This window comes from Homo sapiens, chromosome X (genome assembly GCF_000001405.40).
Source record: "Homo sapiens chromosome X, GRCh38.p14 Primary Assembly".
NCBI classification, from domain to species: Eukaryota; Metazoa; Chordata; class Mammalia; order Primates; family Hominidae; genus Homo; species Homo sapiens.
Window position 1 is genome coordinate 93,626,324 of NC_000023.11, and position 22,180 is coordinate 93,648,503.

Consider the following 22,180-nt stretch of genomic DNA (forward strand, 5'->3'; position numbering starts at 1 on the left):
CTTGTTTTACTGGCATGCTTCTAATCTGAAAATCTTCAACTTGCATGCAAGTCTCTATGCATATTTGTACGTGGAGACTTTGAAAAAGATTTTCAGTATCAGCTTCTAGAAGAAGATTCATTTCCTTCCAGTATATCTCATAAAAAGGAATACTTCTGTGAAATAGAATATATGCATCATGGAAGCATTCAAGAATTTAGAGGAGATATGTTATTGTTACTAATTATTAACTTATATCTACACAGTGATATACAGCACATAATAGGATAGAAGTAAAATATTCAGTTGTCTTGAATTGTCATGGCCTAACCTGACGCAGAGGAGGGCAAGGATCCACAGATAAAAAACACAGTGCCACCTATCCCACACCCAATTGTCTTAATGGATCACAGCAAATAAGACCCACTGGCCACATTCTTTATTCAGTGTTAATAGTAGGTAGGAGAAAAATATATTTTGAAAAGAACATATTTATCACGACATATTTCATGAAAATGTTTCATTCAACAGGTATGCTACTTGCCTAGGGAAGATCTCTTATCACAGCATGTCTGTATTTTCATGTAAGTGATCAAAATCATGTTTTAGGCTTGTCAAACAATTAAAAAAATGGAAATATACTTGAACCAAAATGTGTCTAGAAATATGCAAACTACTAATTCTTAATACCCTGCTCTTTTTGTTAACATGTAAATTCCCAGCCTTCTAAAAAGCATCCTACTGTCATTAAACTCAGTTTAATGACAAGAATTATTTTCCTCAATGTATGTATTCAGAATTTAACTCCAAAAGCAAAATTAATAGTATAAAGATTATGGACACAGAGTCATGATCCTAACTCTATGTATACCCTAGTTTTAAAAGTGATTATCTTGCTCAAGATGCCATAACTAATAACTGGAGAAGCAGTATTTGAATCTACGTGTCATCACTCCAAGGCCAATGGGCGTCCTGGAACACCAAGTTGTCTTCCAGAGATTAAGAAGAAAAGGCCATAGTATTGGTTGGGAGCCAAGATGGCTGAATAGGAACAGCTCCGGTCTACAGTTCCCAGCATGAGCAACGCAGAAGACGGGTGACTTCTGCATTTCCATCTGAGGTACCAGGTTCATCTCACTAGAGAGTGCCAGACAGTGGGCTCAGGACAGTGGGTGCAGCACACCATGCGTGAGCCAAAGCAGGGTGAGGCATTGCCTCACTCAGGAAGCACAAGGGGTCAGGGAGTTCCCTTTCCTAGTCAAAGAAAGGGGTGACAGATGGCACCTGGAAAATCGGGTGACTCCCACCTGAATACTGCACTTTTCCAACGGGCTTAAAAAACAGCGCACCAGGAGATTATATCCTGCACCTGGCTTGGAGGGTCCTACGCCCACGGAGTCTCGCTGATTGCTAGCACAGCAGTCTGAGATCAAACTGCAAGGTGGCAGCGAGGCTGGGGGAGGGATGCCCGCTATTGCCCAGGCTTGCTTAGGTAAACAAAGCAGTTGGGAAGCTTGAACTGGGTGGAGCCCACCACAGCTCAAGGAGGCCTGCCTGCCTCTGTAGGCTCCACCTCTGGGGGCAGGGCACAGACAAACAAAAAGACAGCAGTAACCTCTGCAGACTTGAATGTCCCTGTCTGACAGCTTTGAAGAGAGCAGTGGTTCTCCTAGCACGCAGCTGGAGATCTGAGAACGGGCAGACTGCCTCCTCAAGTGGGTCCCTGACCCCTGACCCCCGAGCAGCCTAACTGGGAGGCACCCCCCCAGTAGGGGCAGACTGACATCTCACACGGCCGGGTACTCCTCTGAGACAAAACTTCCAGAGGAACGATCAGACAGCAGCATTCGCAGTTCACAATAATCCTATGTTCTGCAGCCACTGCTGCTGGTACCCAGGGAAACAGGGTCTGGAGTGGACCTCTAGCAAACTCCAACAGACCTGCAGCTGAGGGTCCTGTCTGTTAGAAGGAAAACTAACAAACAGAAAGGACATCCACACCAAAAACCCATCTGTACATCACCATCATCAAAGACCAAAAGTAGATAAAACCACAAAGATGGGGAAAAAATAGAGCAGAAAAACTGGATACTCTAAAAAGCAGAGTGCCTCTCCTCCTCCAAAGGAATGCAGTTTCTCACCAGTAACAGAACAAAGCTGGAAGGAGAATGACTTTGACGAGCTGAGAGAAGAAGGCTTCAGACGATCAAATTACTCTGAGCTATGGGAGGACATTCAAACCAAAGGTAAAGAAGTTGAAAACTTTGAAAAAAATTTAGAAGAATGTATAACTAGAATAACCAATACAGAGAAGTGCTTAAAGGAGCTGATGGAGCTGAAAGCCAAGGCTCAAGAACTACGTGAAGAATGCAGAAGCCTCAGGAGCCGATGCAATCAACTGGAAGAAAGGGTATCAGTGATGGAAGATGAAATGAATGAAATGAAGCGAGAAGGGAAGTTTACAGAAAAAAGAATAAAAAGAAACGAACAAAGCATCCAAGAAATATGGGACTATGTGAAAAGACCAAATCTACGTCTGATTGGTGTACCTGAAAATGACGGGGAGAATGGAACCAAGTTGGAAAATACTCTGCAGGATATTATCCAGGAGAACTTCCCCAATCTAGCAAGGCAGGCCAACATTCAGATTCAGGAAATACAGAGAACGCCACAAAGATACTCCTCGAGAAGAGCAACTCCAAGACACATAATTGTCAGATTCACCAAAGTTGAAATGAAGGAAAAAATGTTAAGGGCAGCCAGAGAGAAAGGTCGGGTTACCCACAAAGGGAAGCCCATCAGACTAACAGCGGATCTCTCAGCAGAAAATCTACAAGCCAGAAGAGAGTGGGGGCCAATACTCAACATTCTTAAAGAAAAGAATTTTCAACCCAGAATTTCATATCCAGCCAAACTAAGCTTCATAAGTGAAGGAGAAATAAAATACTTCACAGACAAGCAAATGCTGAGAGATTTTGTCACCACCAGGCCTGCCCTACAAGAGCTCCTGAAGGAAGCACTAAACATGGAAAGGAACAACCAGTACCAGCCACTGCAAAATCATGCCAAATTGTAAAGACCATCAAGGCTAGGAAGAAACTGCATCAACTAACAAGCAAAATAACCAGCTAAAATCATAATGACAGGATCAAATTCACACATAACAATATTAACTTTAAATGTAAATGGACTAAACGCTCCAATTAAAAGACACAGACTGGCAAGTTGGATAAAGAGTCAAGACCCATCAGTGTGCTGTATTCAGGAAACCCATCTCACGAGCAGAGACACACATAGGCTCAAAATAAAAGGATGGAGGAAGATCTACCAAGCAAATTGAAAACAAAAAAGGGCAGGGGTTGCAATCCTAGTCTCGGATAAAACAGACTTTAAACCAACAAAGATCAAAAGAGACAAAGAAGGCCATTACATAATGGTAAAGGGATCAATTCAACAAGAAGAGCTAACTATCCTAAATATATATGCACCCAATACAGGAGCACCAAGATTCATAAAGAAAGTCCTGAGTGACCTACAAAGAGACTTAGACTCCCACACAATAACAATGGGAGACTTTAACACTCCACTGTCAACATTAGACAGATCAACGAGACAGAAAGTTAACAAGGATATCCAGGAATTGAACTCAGCTCTGCACCAAGCGGACCTAATAGACATCTATAGAACTCTCCACCCTAAATCAACAGAATATACATTTTTTTCAGCACCACACCACACCTATTCCAAAATTGACCACATACTGGGAAGTAAGGCTCTCCTCAGCAAATGTAAAAGATCAAAAATCATAACAAACTGTCTCTCAGACCACAGTGCAATCAAACTAGAACTCAGGAATAAGAAACTCACTCAAAACCACTCAACTACATGGAAACTGAACAACCTGCTCCTGAATGACTACTGGGTACATAACGAAATGAAGGCAGAAATAAAGATGTTCTTTGAAACCACCGAGAACAAAGACACAACATACCAGAATCTCTGGGACACATTCAAAGCAGTGTGTAGAGGGAAATTTATAGCACTAAATGCCCACAAGAGAAAGCAGGAAAGATCCAAAATTGACACCCTAACATCACAATTAAAATAACTAGAAAAACAAGAGCAAACACATTCGAAAGCTAGCAGAAGGCAAGAAATAACTAAAATCAGAGCAGAACTGAAGGAAATAGAGACACAAAAAACCCTTCAAAAAATTAATGAATCCAGGAGCTGGTTTTTTGAAAGGATCAATAAAATTGATAGACTGCTAGCAAGACTAATAAAGAAGAAGAGAGAGAAGAATCAAATAGCCACAATAAAAAATGATAAAGAGGATATCACCACTGATCCCACAGAAATACAAACTACCATCAGAGAATACTATAAACACCTCTATGCAAATAAACTAGAAAAGCTAGAAGAAATGGATAAATTCCTCGACACATACACCCTCCCAAGACTAAACCAGGAAGAAGTTGAATCTCTGAATAGACCAATAACAGGAGCTGAAATTGTGGCAATAATCAATAGCTTACCAACCAAAAAGAGTCCAGGACCAGATGGATTCACAGCCGAATTCTACCAGAGGTACAAAGAGGAGCTGGTACCATTCCTTCTGAAACTATTCCAATCAATAGAAAAAGGGAATCCTCCGAACTCATTTTATGAGGCCAGCATCATCCTGATACCAAAGCCGGGTAGAGACACAACGAAAAAAGAGAATTTTAGACCAATATCCTTGATGAACATTGATGCAAAAATCCTTAATAAAATACTGGCAAACTGAATCCAGCAGCACATCAAAAAGCGTATCCACCATGATCAAGTGGGCTTCATCCCTAGGATGCAAGGCTGGTTCAATATATGCAAATCAATAAATGTAATCCAGCATATAAACAGAACCAAAGACAAAAACCACATGATTATCTCAATAGAAGCAGAAAAGGCCTTTGACAAAATTCAACAACCCTTCATGCTAAAAGCTCTCAACAAATTAGGTATTGATGGGACGTATCTCAAAATAATAAGAGCTATCTATGACAAACCCACAGCCAATATCATACTGAATGGGCAAAAACTGGAAGCATTCCCTTTGAAAACTGGCACAAGACAGGGATGCCCTCTCTCCCCACTCCTATTCAACATACTGTTGGAAGTTCTGGCCAGGGCAATTAGGCAGGAGAAGGAAATAAAGGGTATTCAATTAGGAAAAGAGGAAGTCAAATTGTCCCTGTTTGCAGATGACATGATTGTATATCTAGAAAACCCCATTGTCTCAGCCCAAAATCTCCTCAAGCTGACAAGCAACTTCAGCAAAGTCTCAGGATAGAAAATCAATGTACAAAAATCACAAGCATTCTTATACACCAATAGCAGACAAACAGAGAGCCAAATCATGAGTGAACTCCCATTCACAATTGCTTCAAAGAGAATAAAATACCTAGGAATCCAACTTTCAAGGGACGTGAAGGACCTCTTCAAGGAGAACTACAAACCACTGCTCAATGAAATAAAAGAGGATACAAACAAATGGAAGAACATTCCATGCTCATGGGTAGGAAGAATCAATATCATGAAAATGGCCATACTGCTCAAGGTAATTTATAGATTCAATGCCATCCCCATCAAGCTACCAATGCCTTTCTTCACAGAATTGGAAAAAACTACTTTAAAGTTCATATGGAACCAAAAATGAGCCCACATCGCCAAGTCAATCCTAAGCCAAAAGAACAAAGCTGGAGGCATCACACTACCTGACTTCAAACTATACTACAAGGCTACAGTAACCAAAACAGTATGGTACTGGTACCAAAACAGAGATATAGATCAATGGAACAGAACAGAGCCCTCAGAAATAATGCCACATATCTACAACTATCTGATCCTTGACAAACCTGAGAAAAACAAGCAATGGGGAAAGGATTCCCTATTTAATAAATGGTGCTGGGAAAACTGGCTAGCCATATGTAGAAAGCTGAAACTGGATCCGTTCCTTACACCTTATACAAAAATTAATTCAAGATGGATTAAAGTCTTAAACGTTAGACCTAAAACCATAAAAACCCTAGAAGAAAACCTAGGCATTACCATTCAGGACATAGGCATGGGCAAGGACTTCATGTCTAAAACACCAAAAGCAATGGCAACAAAAGCCAAAATTGACAAATGGGATCTAATTAAACTAAAGAGCTTCTGCACAGCCAAAGAAACTACCATCAGAGTGAATAGGCAACCTACAGAATGGGAGGAAATTTTCACAACCTACTCATCTGACAAAGGGCTAATATCCAGAATCTACAATGAACTCAACAAAATTTACAAGAAGAAAACAAACAACCCCATCAAAAAGTGGGCAAAGGACATGAACAGACACTCCTCAAAAGAAGACATTTATGCAGCCAAAAAACACATGAAAAAATGCTCACCATCACTGGCCATTAGAGAAATGCAAATCAAAACCACAATGAGATACCATCTCACACCAGTTAGAATGGTGATCATTAAAAAGTCAGGAAACAACAGGTGCTGGAGAGGATGTGGAGAAATAGGAACACTTTTACACTGTTGGTGGGACTGTAAACTAGTTCAACCATTGTGGAAGTCAGTGTGGCGATTCCTCAGGGATCTAGAACTAGAAATACCATTTGACCCAGCCATCCCATTACTGGGTATATACCCAAAGGACTATAAATCATGCTGCTATAAAGACACATGCACACGTATGTTTATTGCGGCACTATTCACAATAGCAAAGACTTGGAACCAAGCCAAATGTCCAACAATAATAGACTGGATTAAGAAAATGTGGCACATATACACCATGGAATACTATGCAGCCATAAAAAATGATGAGTTCATGTCCTTTGTAGGGACATGGATGAAATTGGAAATCATCATTCTCAGCAAACTATCACAAGAACAAAAAACCAAACACCGCATACTCTCACTCCTAGGTGGGAATTGAACAATGAGAACACATGGATACAGGAAGGGGACCATCACACTCTGGGGACTGTTGTGGGGTGGGGGGAGGGGGGAGGGATAGCATTAGGAGATACACCTAATGCTAAATGACGAGTTAATGGGTGCAGCACACCAGCATGGCACATGTATACATATGTAACTAACCTGCACATTGGGCACATGTACCCTAAAACTTAAAGTATAATAATAATAAAATAAAATAAAAAAAGAGAGAGAGAGAGATAAAGGACATTTTTAATGGGCCAAGGATTGAACATAGAACTTCTTTCCTTAGTCAAAATTAATTTGGGGGAAAAACACAACATCAATGCTCTAAACCCTTTTGATAATTAAAAACAAAGTATTCTTCCTTGTTTACTTTATTCAGAGCATGGGCTGGTTATCACACACTTTTGCCAATATGTAACTTGACAGTTTCACTTTTCTACCTGAACAACTTGAGAATCTAATGATCATTTGAATTCTTCCTTTTCCTAGAAGAAATGTGATCTCTGTATTTGAATACCTAAGCCTGTCACTTTTGAAGATGAAAAATTGAAAGTAATCAAAATCAAATAAAACAAGGTAACAAGATAAATTTTTCAAATAGGATAAATATTCTTAAACGTCTATACTTCAATTCTATTAACATTTTGCTAAGAATATACTTGTGCCTATGTATAGCAAAAAGTATTAATCTTATTCATGCATGAATTTTGATTTTCCTAAAAAATACAAGCTATTATCTACTTGAGCAGCTGGAATATAAAATTATTAGTAACTTTCTCTTTGCTTAGAAACTTAAGGACAGGGACTGTTTATGGTAGGTAATGATAAAGTTGTTTACTTTGGAAAGTTACATTTGTAATTCTCTCATATTTGAATATTCTTGTAAAGTGTCTTAGGTATGCACTTTACAATAATTAATTTCATTGTTTCATCTATCACCATAAATGACTCTTCCTGATGTCAACCTAGATTCATCACAGGCTGTAAGAGGTTAATTTCTTTACTGAAAACCCACCATAAATATTACTGATCTGTGTGTATATTCTCTGTAGATAGAGGTAAACAAAATGAGCTAGATTTTCCATAGAATCACTTTATATATAGGACTAAGAAAATATATTTTAGAGGCTAGGCAGCAAGCTGGAAAGAATAGAGCTAGTATTTCATTAATCCCCTTAGTCTACTGAATAATAATACTAATACTAGTAATAATACCAGCTTATTAATCATTCACTATATAGCAGAAAACCAGTGCTAAGTATTTTGTACATTATCTCAGTTATTCCATGCAGCTCTATGAAACAGATGGCATTATTATTCCCATTTACTGATGAGAATCTGACTTTACAGAAAATAAATTAAGTTGCTCTGCATACCTTGACATTAAATTTAGGTTTGTCTGACTCCTAAACCAGTTTTCTCATATATATGTGTAGTGGAGGCATTATCAGAGAAGAAAACACAACAATGATGCAATTTGTTTATCTTTTTTTTGTGAGCAAGATTGCCAGGTAAGTCAGAGTTAATTTGCAAGTAGGATGCCAGGGGATGGGACAAATATTGATAAAGAAATGGAAATTCCTGGAAAATACAAAATAACCAGTGAATAGAGGGCTATTCCTTATCTAGTGGTAGACAGAATAGAGCCTCAACACACACACACACACATACACAACACACACACATACACAACACACACACATACACAACACACACACATATATACATATGTGTGTATATATGTGTGTGTGTGTGTGTGTGCATGTGTGTGTGTATGTGTGTGTGTGTGTGTGTGTGTGTGTATCTATATATAGAGAGAGAGACAGAGAGAAATCTTTATAAGGGTAGGGGATATTAGACCTTCAAGAGTCATTGAGGGTAGCCTCTCAGAAGGGTAGTTGTAGGTGGCAGACTGCATAAAAGTTATGAGAGAGAAAATGTTTTCTAAAGATGGGGATGGGGTGGTGGGAAGAGTTACTGTGAAGAAAAGGTAGGATACTGGTTTGTCAGGGTTCTCCAGAGAAACAGAACCCATTGGAGATATATTAGAGAGGGAAAGGAAGAGGGAGAGATTTATTATAAGGAATTGGCTCACATGATTATGGAGGCTGAAAAGTCCCAAGATCTGCAGTCAGCAAGCTGGAGACCTAGAAGAGCACATAATGTAATTTGAGTCTGGCAGGCTCAAGATCCCAGAATAGCTAATGACTGGGTTTGAGTCTGAAGGCAGAAAAAACCCAATGTTCCACCTGGAAGGCTGTCAGGTAGGAAGAGTTTCCTCTTATTAGAAGGAGGGTCAATCTTCTTGTTCTATTCAGGTGTTAGGGTGATTGGATGAGTCCTACCCACATTAAGAAGGGCAATCAGCTTTACTTAGTCTACTGATTCAAATGTTAATTGCACCTCCAAACACACTCACGGACAAACCCAAAGTAATATTTGAATGAATGTCTGGGTGCCCCATAAGTCAGTCAAGATGACACATAAAATTAATGAACACACTGGCTATACTGATTACAGTTCATTAAAATGATGGTTTTTAGAAATAATCCTCTTAAAACAACAGTTTCAGGAAGGACATAGTTATGTGGGAAATTTGAAACAGTTGGCTGATAGACTTTAACATAATGGGCTCAAGCATGGCACGATGTTAAGGCCGTGACATTAAATATCTCCCCCAAAGAATTACTGCAACAGAGCTATGTATAATAACAACTGAGTGGTAGGTGTACTAGAGTAGTATAGGTAGCATACTCCTTAAGTTTTGCTTCCAGGAAAAAGCCTTTCTCCCACCTCCATCTCCTTCACTCCAGTACTACTTAAGCAATTGACAGGAAAAAAAATTACCTAAAATATCACAGAAGTTAGAAATTTCTGTGATGATTCTGAAGGGAAGGCCTATAAGGAAATGAGAAGTCTCATTAAAAGAAGTATTACCAGCTACAGTGTTACATGTTTAGCCCAATTTCCTGTTTAGTGGTCTCTAAGATAAAGTAAAAATGCAAATAATAACTTTTTTTAGGAAGAAACACAGATCCTCACACAAGACTGATAAAATGAACAAAGGCTAAGAATAATAGGAGATTGGTGGAAAAAATAAAAGATAGAATAAAATAAGGACTTTGATATGTTTTGGATCTGTGTCCCTGACCAAATCTCACATTGAATTGTAATCCCCAATTTTGGAGGTGGAGCCTGGTGGGAGGTGATTGAATCACGTGTGCGGTTTCTAATGAATGGTTTAACACCATCACACTGGGTACTGTTCTCCTGAAGGTGAGTGAGTTCTCATAAGACCTGGTTGTTTAAAAATGTGTAGCACCTCCCCTAACCTCTTCTTCCTGCTATGGCCATGTGAAGTTCTGGCTCATCCTTTGCCTTCCATCATGATTGTAAGTTTCTTGAGGCTTCCTCAGAAGCTGAACAGATGGCCAGCATCATGCTGCTGTAAGGCTGGCGGAACCATGAGCTAATTAAACCCCTTTTCTTTATAAATTACCCAGTCTCAGGTAGTTCTTTATAGCAATGTGAGAATGAACTAATGCAGAAAGTTGGTACCAAGGAGAGGGTCTTTGCTATAAAGATACCTGAAAATGTGGAAGCAGCTTTGGAACTGGACAACAAGCAGAGGTTGGAAGAGTGTGGAGAGCTTACAAGAAGACAGGAAGATGAGGGAAGGTTTGGAACTTCCTAGAGACTTGTTAAATTGTTGTGACCAGGCCAGGCATGGTGGCTCACACCTGTAATCCCAGCACTTTGGGAGGCTGAGGCAGGTGGATCACTTTAGGTCAGGAGTTCAAGACCAGCCTGGCCAACATTGTGAAACCTGGTCTCTGCTAAAAATACAAAAGTTAGCCAGGTGCAGTGGTGCATGCCTGTAATCCCAACTGCTCGGGAGGCTGAGGCATAAGAATCGCTTGAACCCAGGAGGCGGAGGTTGCAGTGAGCCGAGATTGCACCACTGCGCCACTACACTCCAAACCTGGGTGACAAAGCGAGACTCTATCTCAAAAAAAAAAAATGTTGTGATCAAAATGCTGATAGTGATACGGACAATGAAGACCAGGCTGAGGAGGTCTCAGATGGAAATGAGAAACATATTGGCAATTGGAGCAGAGGTCACTAGTGTTATGCACTGGCAAAGAGGTTGGCTGTATTATGCCCCTGCCGTAGGAATCTGTGAAACTTTGAACTTAAGAGTGATGATTTAGGGTATCTGGCAGGAGAAATTTCTAAGCAGCAAAGCATTCAAGATGTGCCATGGCTGCTTCTAACAACGTATGCTCATATACGTGGGCAAAGAAATGACCTGAAACTGGAAATTATATTTAAAAGGGAAGCCGAGCATTGATGTTTGGAAAATTTGCAGCTGGATATGTGGTAGAAAAGAAAAACCCATTTCCTGGTGAGGAATTCAAGCCAGCTGCAGAAATTTGCATAAGTAAAGGGGAGCCAAAGGTCATTAGCCAGGACAATGGGGAGGCATCAAAGGCATTTCAGAGACAATCATGGTAGCCCTTCCCATTATAAACCTAGAGGCCTAGGCAAGAAAAATAGTTTCACAGATGTGGGACACTGCTCCTCACATCCCAGCTGCTCCAGTTTGAGCTGTGGCTCAAACAGGCTCAGGTATAGCTTGGGCCGCTGCCCCAGGGGGTGCAAGCTGCAAGCCTTGGTGGCTTCCATGTGGTGGTAAGCCTGAAGGTGAACAGAGTGCTGAGGCTTAGGAGCCTCTACCTAGATTTCAGAGGATGCAAGGAGAAGCCTGGATTTCCAAGCAGAAGCCTGTTGCAGGAGCAGAGCCCTCATGAAGAACCTCTACTAGGGTAGTGCAGAATAAATATGTGGGGTTGGGGCCCCTACACAGAGTCCCCACTGGGGCACTGTTTAGTGGAGCAGTGAGAACAGTGCCATTATTCTCCAGACCCCAGAATAGTAGATCCACCAGCAGTTACACCGTGCACCTGGAAAAGCTGCAGGCTCTCCACACTAGCCCATGAAAGCAGTTGTGGGGGCTGAACCCTGCAAATTCACAGGGGAGGAGCTGCTCGAGACTTTGGGAGCTCACCTCTTGCACCAATGTGTTCCAGATTTGGGACATGGAGTCAAAGGAGATTATTTGGCAGCTTTATGGTTTAATGATTACTCTGCTGGGTTTTAGATTTGTGTAGGGCCTGTAGCCCCTTTCTTTTGCCTGATTTCTGCCTTTTGGAATGGGAGTATTTACCCAATGCCCTATACCTCTATTGTATCTTGGAAGTAACTAACTCATTTTTTATTTTGCAGGCTCATAGGTAGAAGGGACTAGACTTTTCTCAGATGAAACTTTGGATTTCGCACTTTTAAGTTAATACTGCAACGATTTTAGACTTTGGGGAACTGTTGGGAAGGCAAAATTGTATTTTGAAATGTGAGAAGGACGTGAGGTTTGGAAGGGGCCAGGGACAGAATGATTGGCTCTGTGTCCCCACTCAAATCTCATGTTGAATTGTAAACCCCACTGTTGGAGGTGGAACCTGGTGGGAGTTGATTGAATCATGGTGGTGGTTTCTCATGAATGGTTTAACATCATTCTTTTGGGTGTTGTTCTTGTGATGGTGAGTCGTTTCTCATAAGAGCTGATTGTTTAAAAGTGTATAGCACCTCCCTCCTCTCTCTCTTCATTTTGCTGTGGCCACGTAAGATTTGCTTGCATCCCGTTTGGATTCCACCATGATTGAAAGTTTCCTGAGGCCTCTCCAGAAGCCATCATGCTTCCTGTACAACCTATGGAAATGTGAGGTAGTGAAACCTTTTTTTTTTTTAAATAAACTACCCAGTTTCAGGTATTTCTTTAGAGCAGTGCAAAAACAGACTAATATAGATTTTACGAAAAGAAAAACCGAGTTCAAGAAAAGTGAAAGGCAGTCAAATTATAAGTTAAACATATGGCCAAGAGCCATTCATTTATCATTATTTTGCAATTCAACTATTAAAAGAGAGTAAGAATGAAACAGCAAACTTGCCATTTCTTTATTTAAGGAATGCTTTATTCACAGAATTATACATTTTCACGTTATACATATATATATGTCTGTGTGTGTGTGTGTGTTGGAAAAGGTTGAACAAGTAAATCTTTATCTGTGCTACACCAATGCACAAAGGAAAACCAGCATTATATAAATAGTAATTTAGTGTAAGTTTGTTACTGGAACAATTAGTTTTAAAAGTTAATTAGCTTTATACAAAGAGAAAAAGTCTATAGAGACCCAAAACATCAATAAAGTAAATAAACAATTCATTTTTAAAATAGAATTGCAAGCTGTAAATGAAAATTAGAAAATAATTCAATTTATAATACTATCAAGAAGAATAAAATACTTAGGAATAAATTTAACCAAGGAGGTATGATACATGTATGGCGAACTGCAAAACATTCCTAAAAAATTATAGAAATCCTAGATAAATGTAAAAGCCTTCCACATTTATGGAATAGACAAATTAGTATTGTTAATATGGCAATACTCCCCATATTGATATGGAAAGTCAATGAAATTCCTGTCAAATTTCCAGGTTGCTTTTTGCTCTTTTTTTTTTTTTTTTTTTTTTAACAGAAATTGACATGCAGATCCTAAAATTCACAGTGAAATTAAAGAAAACCAGAATAGCCAACATAAGAACGAAAGTTGGAGCACTCACAAGTTATTACTTCAAAACTTACTACAAAGCTACAGTAATCAAAACTGTGTGGTACTAGCATGAAGAAGGACATATGAATCAATGGAAGGAAATTGAGAGTCTAGTCTAAATAAAAGAAAAAAATGTTAAAGGCAGCTAGAGAGAAAGGCCAGGTTATCTACAAAGGGTAGCTCTTTGTATCCCATGTTCTCCAGCTGACAGAGGTTTCAGTACTCCCTGGAGCAAAGCTCTCAGGGAGATGAGCGGGATGCCATCTTTGCTGTTTGGGCTACAGTGAACCTCTCAGCATCATTTCTATATGCTGACAGTGAACACTCTGGAAAAGGAAATAAATCCCATTTACAGTAGTCACACATAAAATTAAACTCTAAGGGGTTACCTTAACCAAAAAAGTGAAAAGTCTCCATAACAAAAATCATAAAATAGTTATAAAATAAATTGCAGATAACACAAAAAATGGGAAGATATACAATGCTCCTGGATTGAAAGTATCAACATGGTTAAAATGTCAATAATACCCAAAGCAATTTACAGTTTCAAAGCAATCCCTATCAAAATACCAACAGTTTTCACAGAAATAGAAAAAAAAATCCTAAAACTTTTATGGAACTACAAAATAAATAGCCAAAGCTATGCTATGCACAAAGAACAAAAGTGGAGGAATTATATTACCTGACTTCAAATTATACTACAGAGCTGTAGTAATCAAAATATCATGGTACTGACATGAAAACAGACACATAGACCAATGAAACAGAATAGAAAACCCAGAAATAAATCCACACACCTACAGTAAACTCATTTTTGACAAAGATGCCAAGAACATACACTGGGGATAAGATGGTCTCTTAAATAAATGATGCTGGGAAAAGTGAATATCCCTATGCAGAAGAAAGAAACTAGATCCCACCTATCACCATATACAAAAGTAAAATAAAGATAGATTAAAAACTTAAATCTAAGACATCAAACTACAAAATTACTAGACAAAAACATTAGGGAAAATTCCTAGGACATTGGTCTAGGCAGAAATTTCTTGAGCTTTACCCCACAAGCGCAGGCAACTATAATAAAAATAGACAAATGGGATCACATCAAGTTAAAAAGCTTCTGCACAGCAAAGAATACAATCAACAAAATGAAGAGATAACAAGAGTAAATAACAAAATGAAGAGATAACAAGAGTAAAAAAAAATGGAAAACTACCCATCTGGCAAGAGATTAATAACCAAAATATATATTAATAAGAAGCTCAAGCAACTCTGTAGAAAACAGTCTAATAATCCAATAAAAAATGAGCAAAAGGTTTTAATGGACATTTCTCAAAAAAAGACATACAAATGGCAACAGGCATATAAAAAGGTGCTCAACATTACTGATTATTAGACAAATGCAAATCAAAACTACAATGTGATATCACCTCACGCCAATTAAAATGACTTATATCCAAAAGACAGAGAATAACAAATGCTGGTGAGGATGTGGAGAAAAAGAAACCCATATATGCTGTTGGTGAGAATGTAATGTAAGTTAGTACAATGGAGGTTCTGGAAAAAAAAAAAAAAAAAAAAAAAAAAAAAACTAAACATTGAGCTACCACATGACTCCACAATCCTACTGCTGGGTATATACCCAAAGGAAAGGAAATCAGTATATTAAAGGGATATCTGCACTCCTATGTTTGTTGCAGTACTATTTACAATAGCCAAAATTTGGAAGCAAACTCAATGTCCATCAACTGATGAACGGATAAAGAAAATGTGGTACATATACTCAATGTAGTACTATTCAGATATGTATAAAAAAAATGAGACCCAGTAACTTGCAACAACATGCAGAATATTGGAGATCATTATATTAAGTGAAATAATGCAGACACAGAAAAACAAACATCAGATGTTCTCACTTGTTTGTGAGATCTTAAAATCAAAACAATTAAACTCATGGACATAGATAGTAGAAAGATGGTTATCAGAGGCTTTGAAGGTTAGTGGTGGGGGGGCTACAAGGGGAGGTGGGGATGGTTAGTGGGTACAAAAATATAGACAGAACAAATAAAACCTACTATTTGATAGCATAGTAAGATGATTACAGTCAATTGTGACTTAATTGTACTTAATTTAAAATAACTTTAAAAGTATAATTGGATTGTAACTCAAAGGATAAATGCTTGAGAGGATGGATACCTCATTACGTATAATGTGCTTATTTCACATGACATGCCCGTGTCAAAACACCTCATTTATCCCAGAAATACATACCCCTACTCTGTACCCAAAAAATTAAAAAATAAATAAATAAAAATTTAAAAAGAAAGATAAGTATATAAATAATAAATAAAATTTAGAAAAAAAAGAAAGTAAAAAACAGTCAACAAAACAGAAAATTTTTGCAAATAATATACCTAATAAAGGGACTTGTATGCAGAATATACAAAGTCTTACAACTCACCAGTAAAAAGACAAATAAATAGTTGGCAACAAATCTGAATAGACATTTCATCAAAGATATTAAAATTATCTATAAGCATGTGAAAAGATGCTTAATATTATTAGTCATCAGGGACATACAAATCAAAACCACAATGAGATACCACTTTACATTCACTAGGATGACGGTAATAAAAAGGACAGAAAATAGTCAAATTACTGTAATTAGCGTATCCATTACCTCAAACATTTATCATTTCCTAGTGATAGATGAATGTTCTTTGAACATTCAAAATCCTCTCTAACTCATTACATATTGTATACATGTATCAAAACATCACCCTGTACCTCAAAAATATGTACAATTACCTGTCAATTAAAAATAAAATAACACTTTGTAAAAAGACAAAAAATAACAGGTGTTACTAAGAATGTCATGAAATTAGAATCTTCATACGTTGCTAGTGGAAATGTAAAATGGTGCTGCTGCTTTGGAAAACAGTCTGACACTTCCTCAAAAGGGCAAACATAAAGTTATCATGTGACCCAGCAATCCCATTCCTGGGTGTATTTATATTCAAGAAAAATAAAAACATATGTCTGAATGAATGTTCATAATAGCATTATTCATAAGACCCCAAAAATTGAAACAACCCAAATATCATTAGTTGGTGAATGGATAAACAAATCATGGTATATAAATGAAATGGAATATAATTTAGCCATTTAAAGGTGTAAAGAATTGATACATGCTATGATACAGATAAACCTTGGAAACATACTAAATGAAAGAAGCCAGTCACAAAAGGTCATATGTTATATGACTCAATTTCTATGAAATGTCCAGAATAGGCAAATCTATAGAAACAGAAGGAAGATAAGTGGTTGTCTAGGGTTTGGGGCCAAGGAGAAGGAATTTGGAGAAAATGGGGTGTGACTGCTAATGGATAAAGGATTTCTAAACAGGGTAATGAAAATTTTGATTGTGATCATTGAACCACTCTGCAAATATACTAAAAATTATTTAATGTATACTTAAAAGTAAACTGTAATGTTTATTAATTATCTCTCAAAGAAGTCACCATTTTCAGAAGGATCAAATTGCAAAATAATTAAATAATTACTTTTGGAGGTTGGAGAAGGGTGAGAAGTTCTTGATTTCTTTTATATATGATATTGTGGAAAGGAATAAGGGAGAAATAGAGAGGAGAAGGGTGATTCCTTTTACTTTAGTATTATTTAAAATATAAAGTCATAGCCTTGTCTCAGGGATTTACCAAGTATAAAAAATATATCCAATTACTGACAAAAGAACTTGATGTCTTAGAGTGAAGAATGTATAAAAAGTTATGAACTATGTTCAACATCAAAATTTATTCTACTTTGATATCTATGCTTGGGATGTTTGCATTGTTTCGGGCTTTGTAGTGAGTGTACTGCTGCTAATTTATTTTGAATCTTTAAAAAGACATAGCAGTCTCTTTTGGATGGTCAATTCCTCAGCTTGGATTTTAAAAACCAGATTAATTTTATTAATAAACTTATTTTATCCAATTTAGAAGTAAAAACAATCCCCTTGCCTGAGACTTCCAATTAAATTTTACAGATTACAGTACACTTAACTATGCAAAACACGCTGTAGAAAAGCAATAGCAAGCAAAAGTTGACTTCACAATTTGTCCAAAAAGTCAAAAGCAAGAAAGAACGTGAAAAAAAATTAAGATAGAGAAGAGTGATGGTAGACAAAACAAGGAGAAAGTAGAACACTAGAGAAAGTGAGAGATACACACTGAAACAAGGAGACAGGAAGAGACATAAAAAGAGGCAACTGTAAAGATAGTCTAGGCCCTGTATTTCAAAATCCTTTTTTTGGTTTACAGAAGGAAATGCACTTATTCTATGTATATCTGAATAATACAGACTGAGAAATACATAGTATAATTGTTTCATCTGGAACATCATGGCTAGATACCCTGTGGCAAGGGTGAAGTTTCTGCTGAAGGAAATGCTGGCTTTTGTTTTTCAATTTTCCTTTTTTTATTTTAATTTTTATTTTTAGTTCTGGGGAACATGTGCAGGATGTGCAGGTTTGTTACGTAGATAAATGTGTACAATGGTGATTTGCTGTACCTATCAACCCATGACCTGGGTATTAAGCCCAACATGAATTAGCTATTTTTCTTATTGTTCTCCCTCCTCTCACCACAACCCCCAACAGGGCTCAGTGTGTGTTGTTCCCTTCCCTGAGTCCATGTGTTCTCATTGATCAGCTTTCACTTATAAGCGAGAACATGCAGTGTTTGGTTTTCTGTTCCTGCATTAGCTTGCTGAGGATAATGGCTTCCAGATTCATTCATGTCCCTAAAAAGGACATGATCTCACTCCTTTTATGGCTTCATAGTATTTCATACTGTGTATGTACCACATTTTTTTTTATCCTGTCTATCGTTGATCAGCATTTGGGTTGATTCCATGTCTTTGCTATTGTGTATAGTGCTGCAATGAACATACACATGCATGTATCTTTGTAATAGAATAATTTACATTACTTTGGGTATATACCCAGTAATGGGATTGCTAGGTCAAATAGTACTTCTGGGTCTAGATCTTTGAGGAATCACCACACTGTCTTTCACAATGGTTGAACTAATTTGCATTCTCACCAACAGTGTAAAAGCATTCCTATTTCTCTGCAAGCTCGCCAACATCTGTTGTTTCTTGATTTTTTAATAACTGCCATTCTGACTGGTGTGAGATGGTATCTCACTGTGGTTTTTGACTTGCATTTCTTTAATGATCAATGATGTTGAGCTTTTTTCATACGTTTGTTGGCAGGATGAATGTCTTCTTTTGAAAAGTGTCTGTTCATGTCCTTTGCCCACTTTTTAATAGGGTTGTTTGTTCTTGTAAATTTGTTTCAGTTCCTTGGGGATTCTGGATATTAGCCTTTGTCAGATGGATAGATTGCAAAAATTTTCCCCCACTCTGTGAGTTGTCTGTTTTCTCTGATAGTTTATTTTGCTGTGCAGAAGTTCATTAGTTTAATTAGATCCCATTTGTCAATTTTTGCTTTCGTTGCAATTGCTTTTGGCAATTTCATCATAAAATCTTTGCCCATGACTTTGTCCAGAACGGTGTTGCCTAGATTTTCTTCTAGGGTTTTTATACTTTGGGGTTTTACATTTAAATCTTTAATCCATCTTGAGTTAATTTTTGCATAAGGTGTGAGGAAGGGGTTCAGTTTCAATTTTCTGCATATGGCTAGCCAGTTTTCCCAGCACCATTCGTTAAATAGGGAATGCTTTCCCCATTGCTTGTTTTTGTCAGGTTTGTCAAAGATCAGATGGTTGCAGATATGCAGTCTTATTTCTGAGTTCTCTGTTCTGTTCTATTGCTTTTGTGTCCATTCTGGTACCAGTACCATGTTGTTTTGGTTATTGTAGCCTTATAGTATAGTTCGAAGTCTGGTAGCATGATGCCTCCAGCTTTGTTCTTTTTGCTTAGGATTATCTTGGCTATATGAGCTCTTTTTTGGTTCCATATGAATTTTAAAATTTTTTTTCTAATTTTGTGAAGAATGGCCATGGTAGTTTAATGGGAATAGCATCGAATATATAAATTACTTTAGGGAGTATGGCCATTTCAACAATATTGATTCTTCCTATCCATGAGCATTGAACATTTTTCCATTTGTTTGTGTCCTCTCTATTTCCCTTGAGCAGTGGTTTGTAGTACTCCTTGAAAAGGTCCTTTACTTCCCTTGTTAACTGTATTCCTAGGTATTTTCTCTTTGTAACAATTGTGAATGGAAGTTCATTCATGGTTTGGCTCTTTGCTTGCTTGTGTTAGTATATAGGAATGCTTGTTACTTCTGCTCATTGATTTTGTATCCTGAGACTTTGCTGAAGTTGCTTATCAGCTTAAGGAGATTTTGGGCTGAGACAATGGGGTTTTCTAAATATACAATCATGTCATCTGAAAACAGGGACAATTTGACTTCCTCTCTTCCTATTTGAATACCTTTTTAAATTTCTCTTGCCTGATTGCCCTGGCCAGAACTTCCAATACTATGCTGAATAGGAGTGGTGAGAGAGGATATCCTTGTCTTGTGCTGGGTTTCAAGGTGAATGCTTACAGCATTTGCCCATTCAGTATGACTTTGGCTGTGGGTTTGTCATAAATGGCTCCTGTTATTTTGATGTATGTCCCTTTAATACCTAGTTTATTAAGAGATTTTAACAAAAAGAGATGCTGAATTTTATCAAAGGCCTTTTGTGCTTATATTGAGAAAATTATGTAGTTTTTGTCTTTAGATCTGTTTATATGATGAATTACGTTTATTGATTTGTGTATGTTGAACCAGCCTTGCATCCTGGGAATGAAGCCAAGTTGATCTTGGTGGATAAACTTTTTCATGTGCTGTTGTGTTTGGTTTTCCAGTATTTTATTGAGAATTTTTGCATTGATATTCATCAGGGATATTGGTCTTAAGTTTTCTTTTTGTTGTTGCTGTTGTATCTCTGCAAGGTTTGGGTATCAGGATGATGCTGGACTCATAGAATGAGTTAGGGAGAAATCCCTACTTTTCAATTGTTTGGAATAGTTTCAAATGAAACGTATCAGCTCCTCTTTGTATTTCTGGTAGAATTCAGCTTGATGTTGCATAAGCATTTGATAAAATTCAACATCGCTTTGTAATAAAATCCTTCAAAAACTGGAGATAGAAGGAACATATCTCAACATCATATAAGCTATATACAACAGACCCAAAGCTAGTATCATACTGAATGGGAAAAAATACTGAAAGCCTTCATACTAAAATCCACAACACAACATGGATGCCCACTTTCACCACTGTTATTCAATATTGTATTGGAAGTTCTAGCTAGAGACAAGAGAAAGAAATAAATAGCATCCAAATGGGAAAGAAAAAATGAAATCATTTTTATTTGCAGACAATGTGATCTTATATTTGGATAAGTCTTAAAAATCCATCAAAAAAGCTCTTAAAATTGGTAAATTCAGGATAGTTGCAGGACACAAGATCAACATAAAAAATCAGTCGCATTTCTATATGTCAACAGCAAACAATCTAAAAAAAATCAAGAAAGTAATCCCTTATACAAGAGCTACAAGGAAAATAACATACCTAAGAATTAACTTATTCAATTAAGTGAAATATCTCTACAAAGAAAACTGTAAAACATTGATGCAAGAAATTGAGAAGGACACAAAACAATGAAAAGATATTCCAAGTTCATGGGTTGGAAGAATCAATATTGTTAAAATGTCCATACTACCTAAAGGAATCTACAAATTTAATGCAATCTCTATCAAAACACCAAAGACATTTTTCACAAAAGTAGAAAAACAGACCTAAAATTAACACAGAACCACAAAAGACCCAGGATAGTCATAGTCATAGCTATCCTGATAGAAGAAAAAAACTGGAGGAATTGCATTACACTATTTCAAATTGTACTACAGAGCTATAGTAACCAAAATGGTATGGTGCCAGCATGAAAACAGACACATAGACCAATGCAAAAGAATAGAGAACCCAAAAACAAATCCACACATCTGCAGTGAACTCATTTTTGACAAAGATGCCAAGAAGACATATTGAGGAAAAAAAAAAACAGTGTCTTCAATAAATGGTGCTGGAAAAAATGGATATTCATATGCAGAAAAATGAAACTAGACCCCTATCTATCACTACACACAAAAATCAAACCAATATGAACTAAAGACTTAAATACAAGGCCTCAAAATATGAAACTACTGAAAGAAAACATTGGGAAACTCTCCAGGTCATTGGAATGGGCAAATATTTTTTGAGTAATACAGCACAAACAAGCAATTGAAGCAAAAATGGACAAATGGTATCACATAAAGTTAAAAAGCTCCTGCACAGCAAAGAAAACAACAAAGTGAAGAGACAACCAAGAGAATGGGTGAAAATATCTGCAAATGATCCATCTGACAAGGAATTAATATCAAGAATATATGAAGAACTCAACACTATAGAGAAAAAACTAATAATCTAATTTTTAAAATGGCAAAAGATCTGAGAAGACATTTCTTAAAAGAAGACATATGATATGGTTTGCATCTGTGTCCCC

General features: G+C 37.3%; 3 annotated features.

The window, feature by feature from the left end:
- Nucleotides 1,025–1,526: an enhancer, noted in NCBI's record as "H3K4me1 hESC enhancer chrX:92882347-92882848 (GRCh37/hg19 assembly coordinates)". NCBI's record gives its function as "activates a minimal SCP1, AML or CMV promoter by ChIP-STARR-seq in primed H9 embryonic stem cells {active_cell/tissue: H9 hESC(primed)}" and the evidence as "EXISTENCE:reporter gene assay evidence [ECO:0000049][PMID:30033119]".
- Nucleotides 10,382–11,368: an enhancer, noted in NCBI's record as "OCT4-NANOG-H3K27ac hESC enhancer chrX:92891704-92892690 (GRCh37/hg19 assembly coordinates)". NCBI's record gives its function as "activates a minimal SCP1, AML or CMV promoter by ChIP-STARR-seq in primed H9 embryonic stem cells {active_cell/tissue: H9 hESC(primed)}" and the evidence as "EXISTENCE:reporter gene assay evidence [ECO:0000049][PMID:30033119]".
- Nucleotides 11,369–12,354: an enhancer, noted in NCBI's record as "OCT4-NANOG-H3K27ac hESC enhancer chrX:92892691-92893676 (GRCh37/hg19 assembly coordinates)". NCBI's record gives its function as "activates a minimal SCP1, AML or CMV promoter by ChIP-STARR-seq in naive and primed H9 embryonic stem cells {active_cell/tissue: H9 hESC(naive and primed)}" and the evidence as "EXISTENCE:reporter gene assay evidence [ECO:0000049][PMID:30033119]".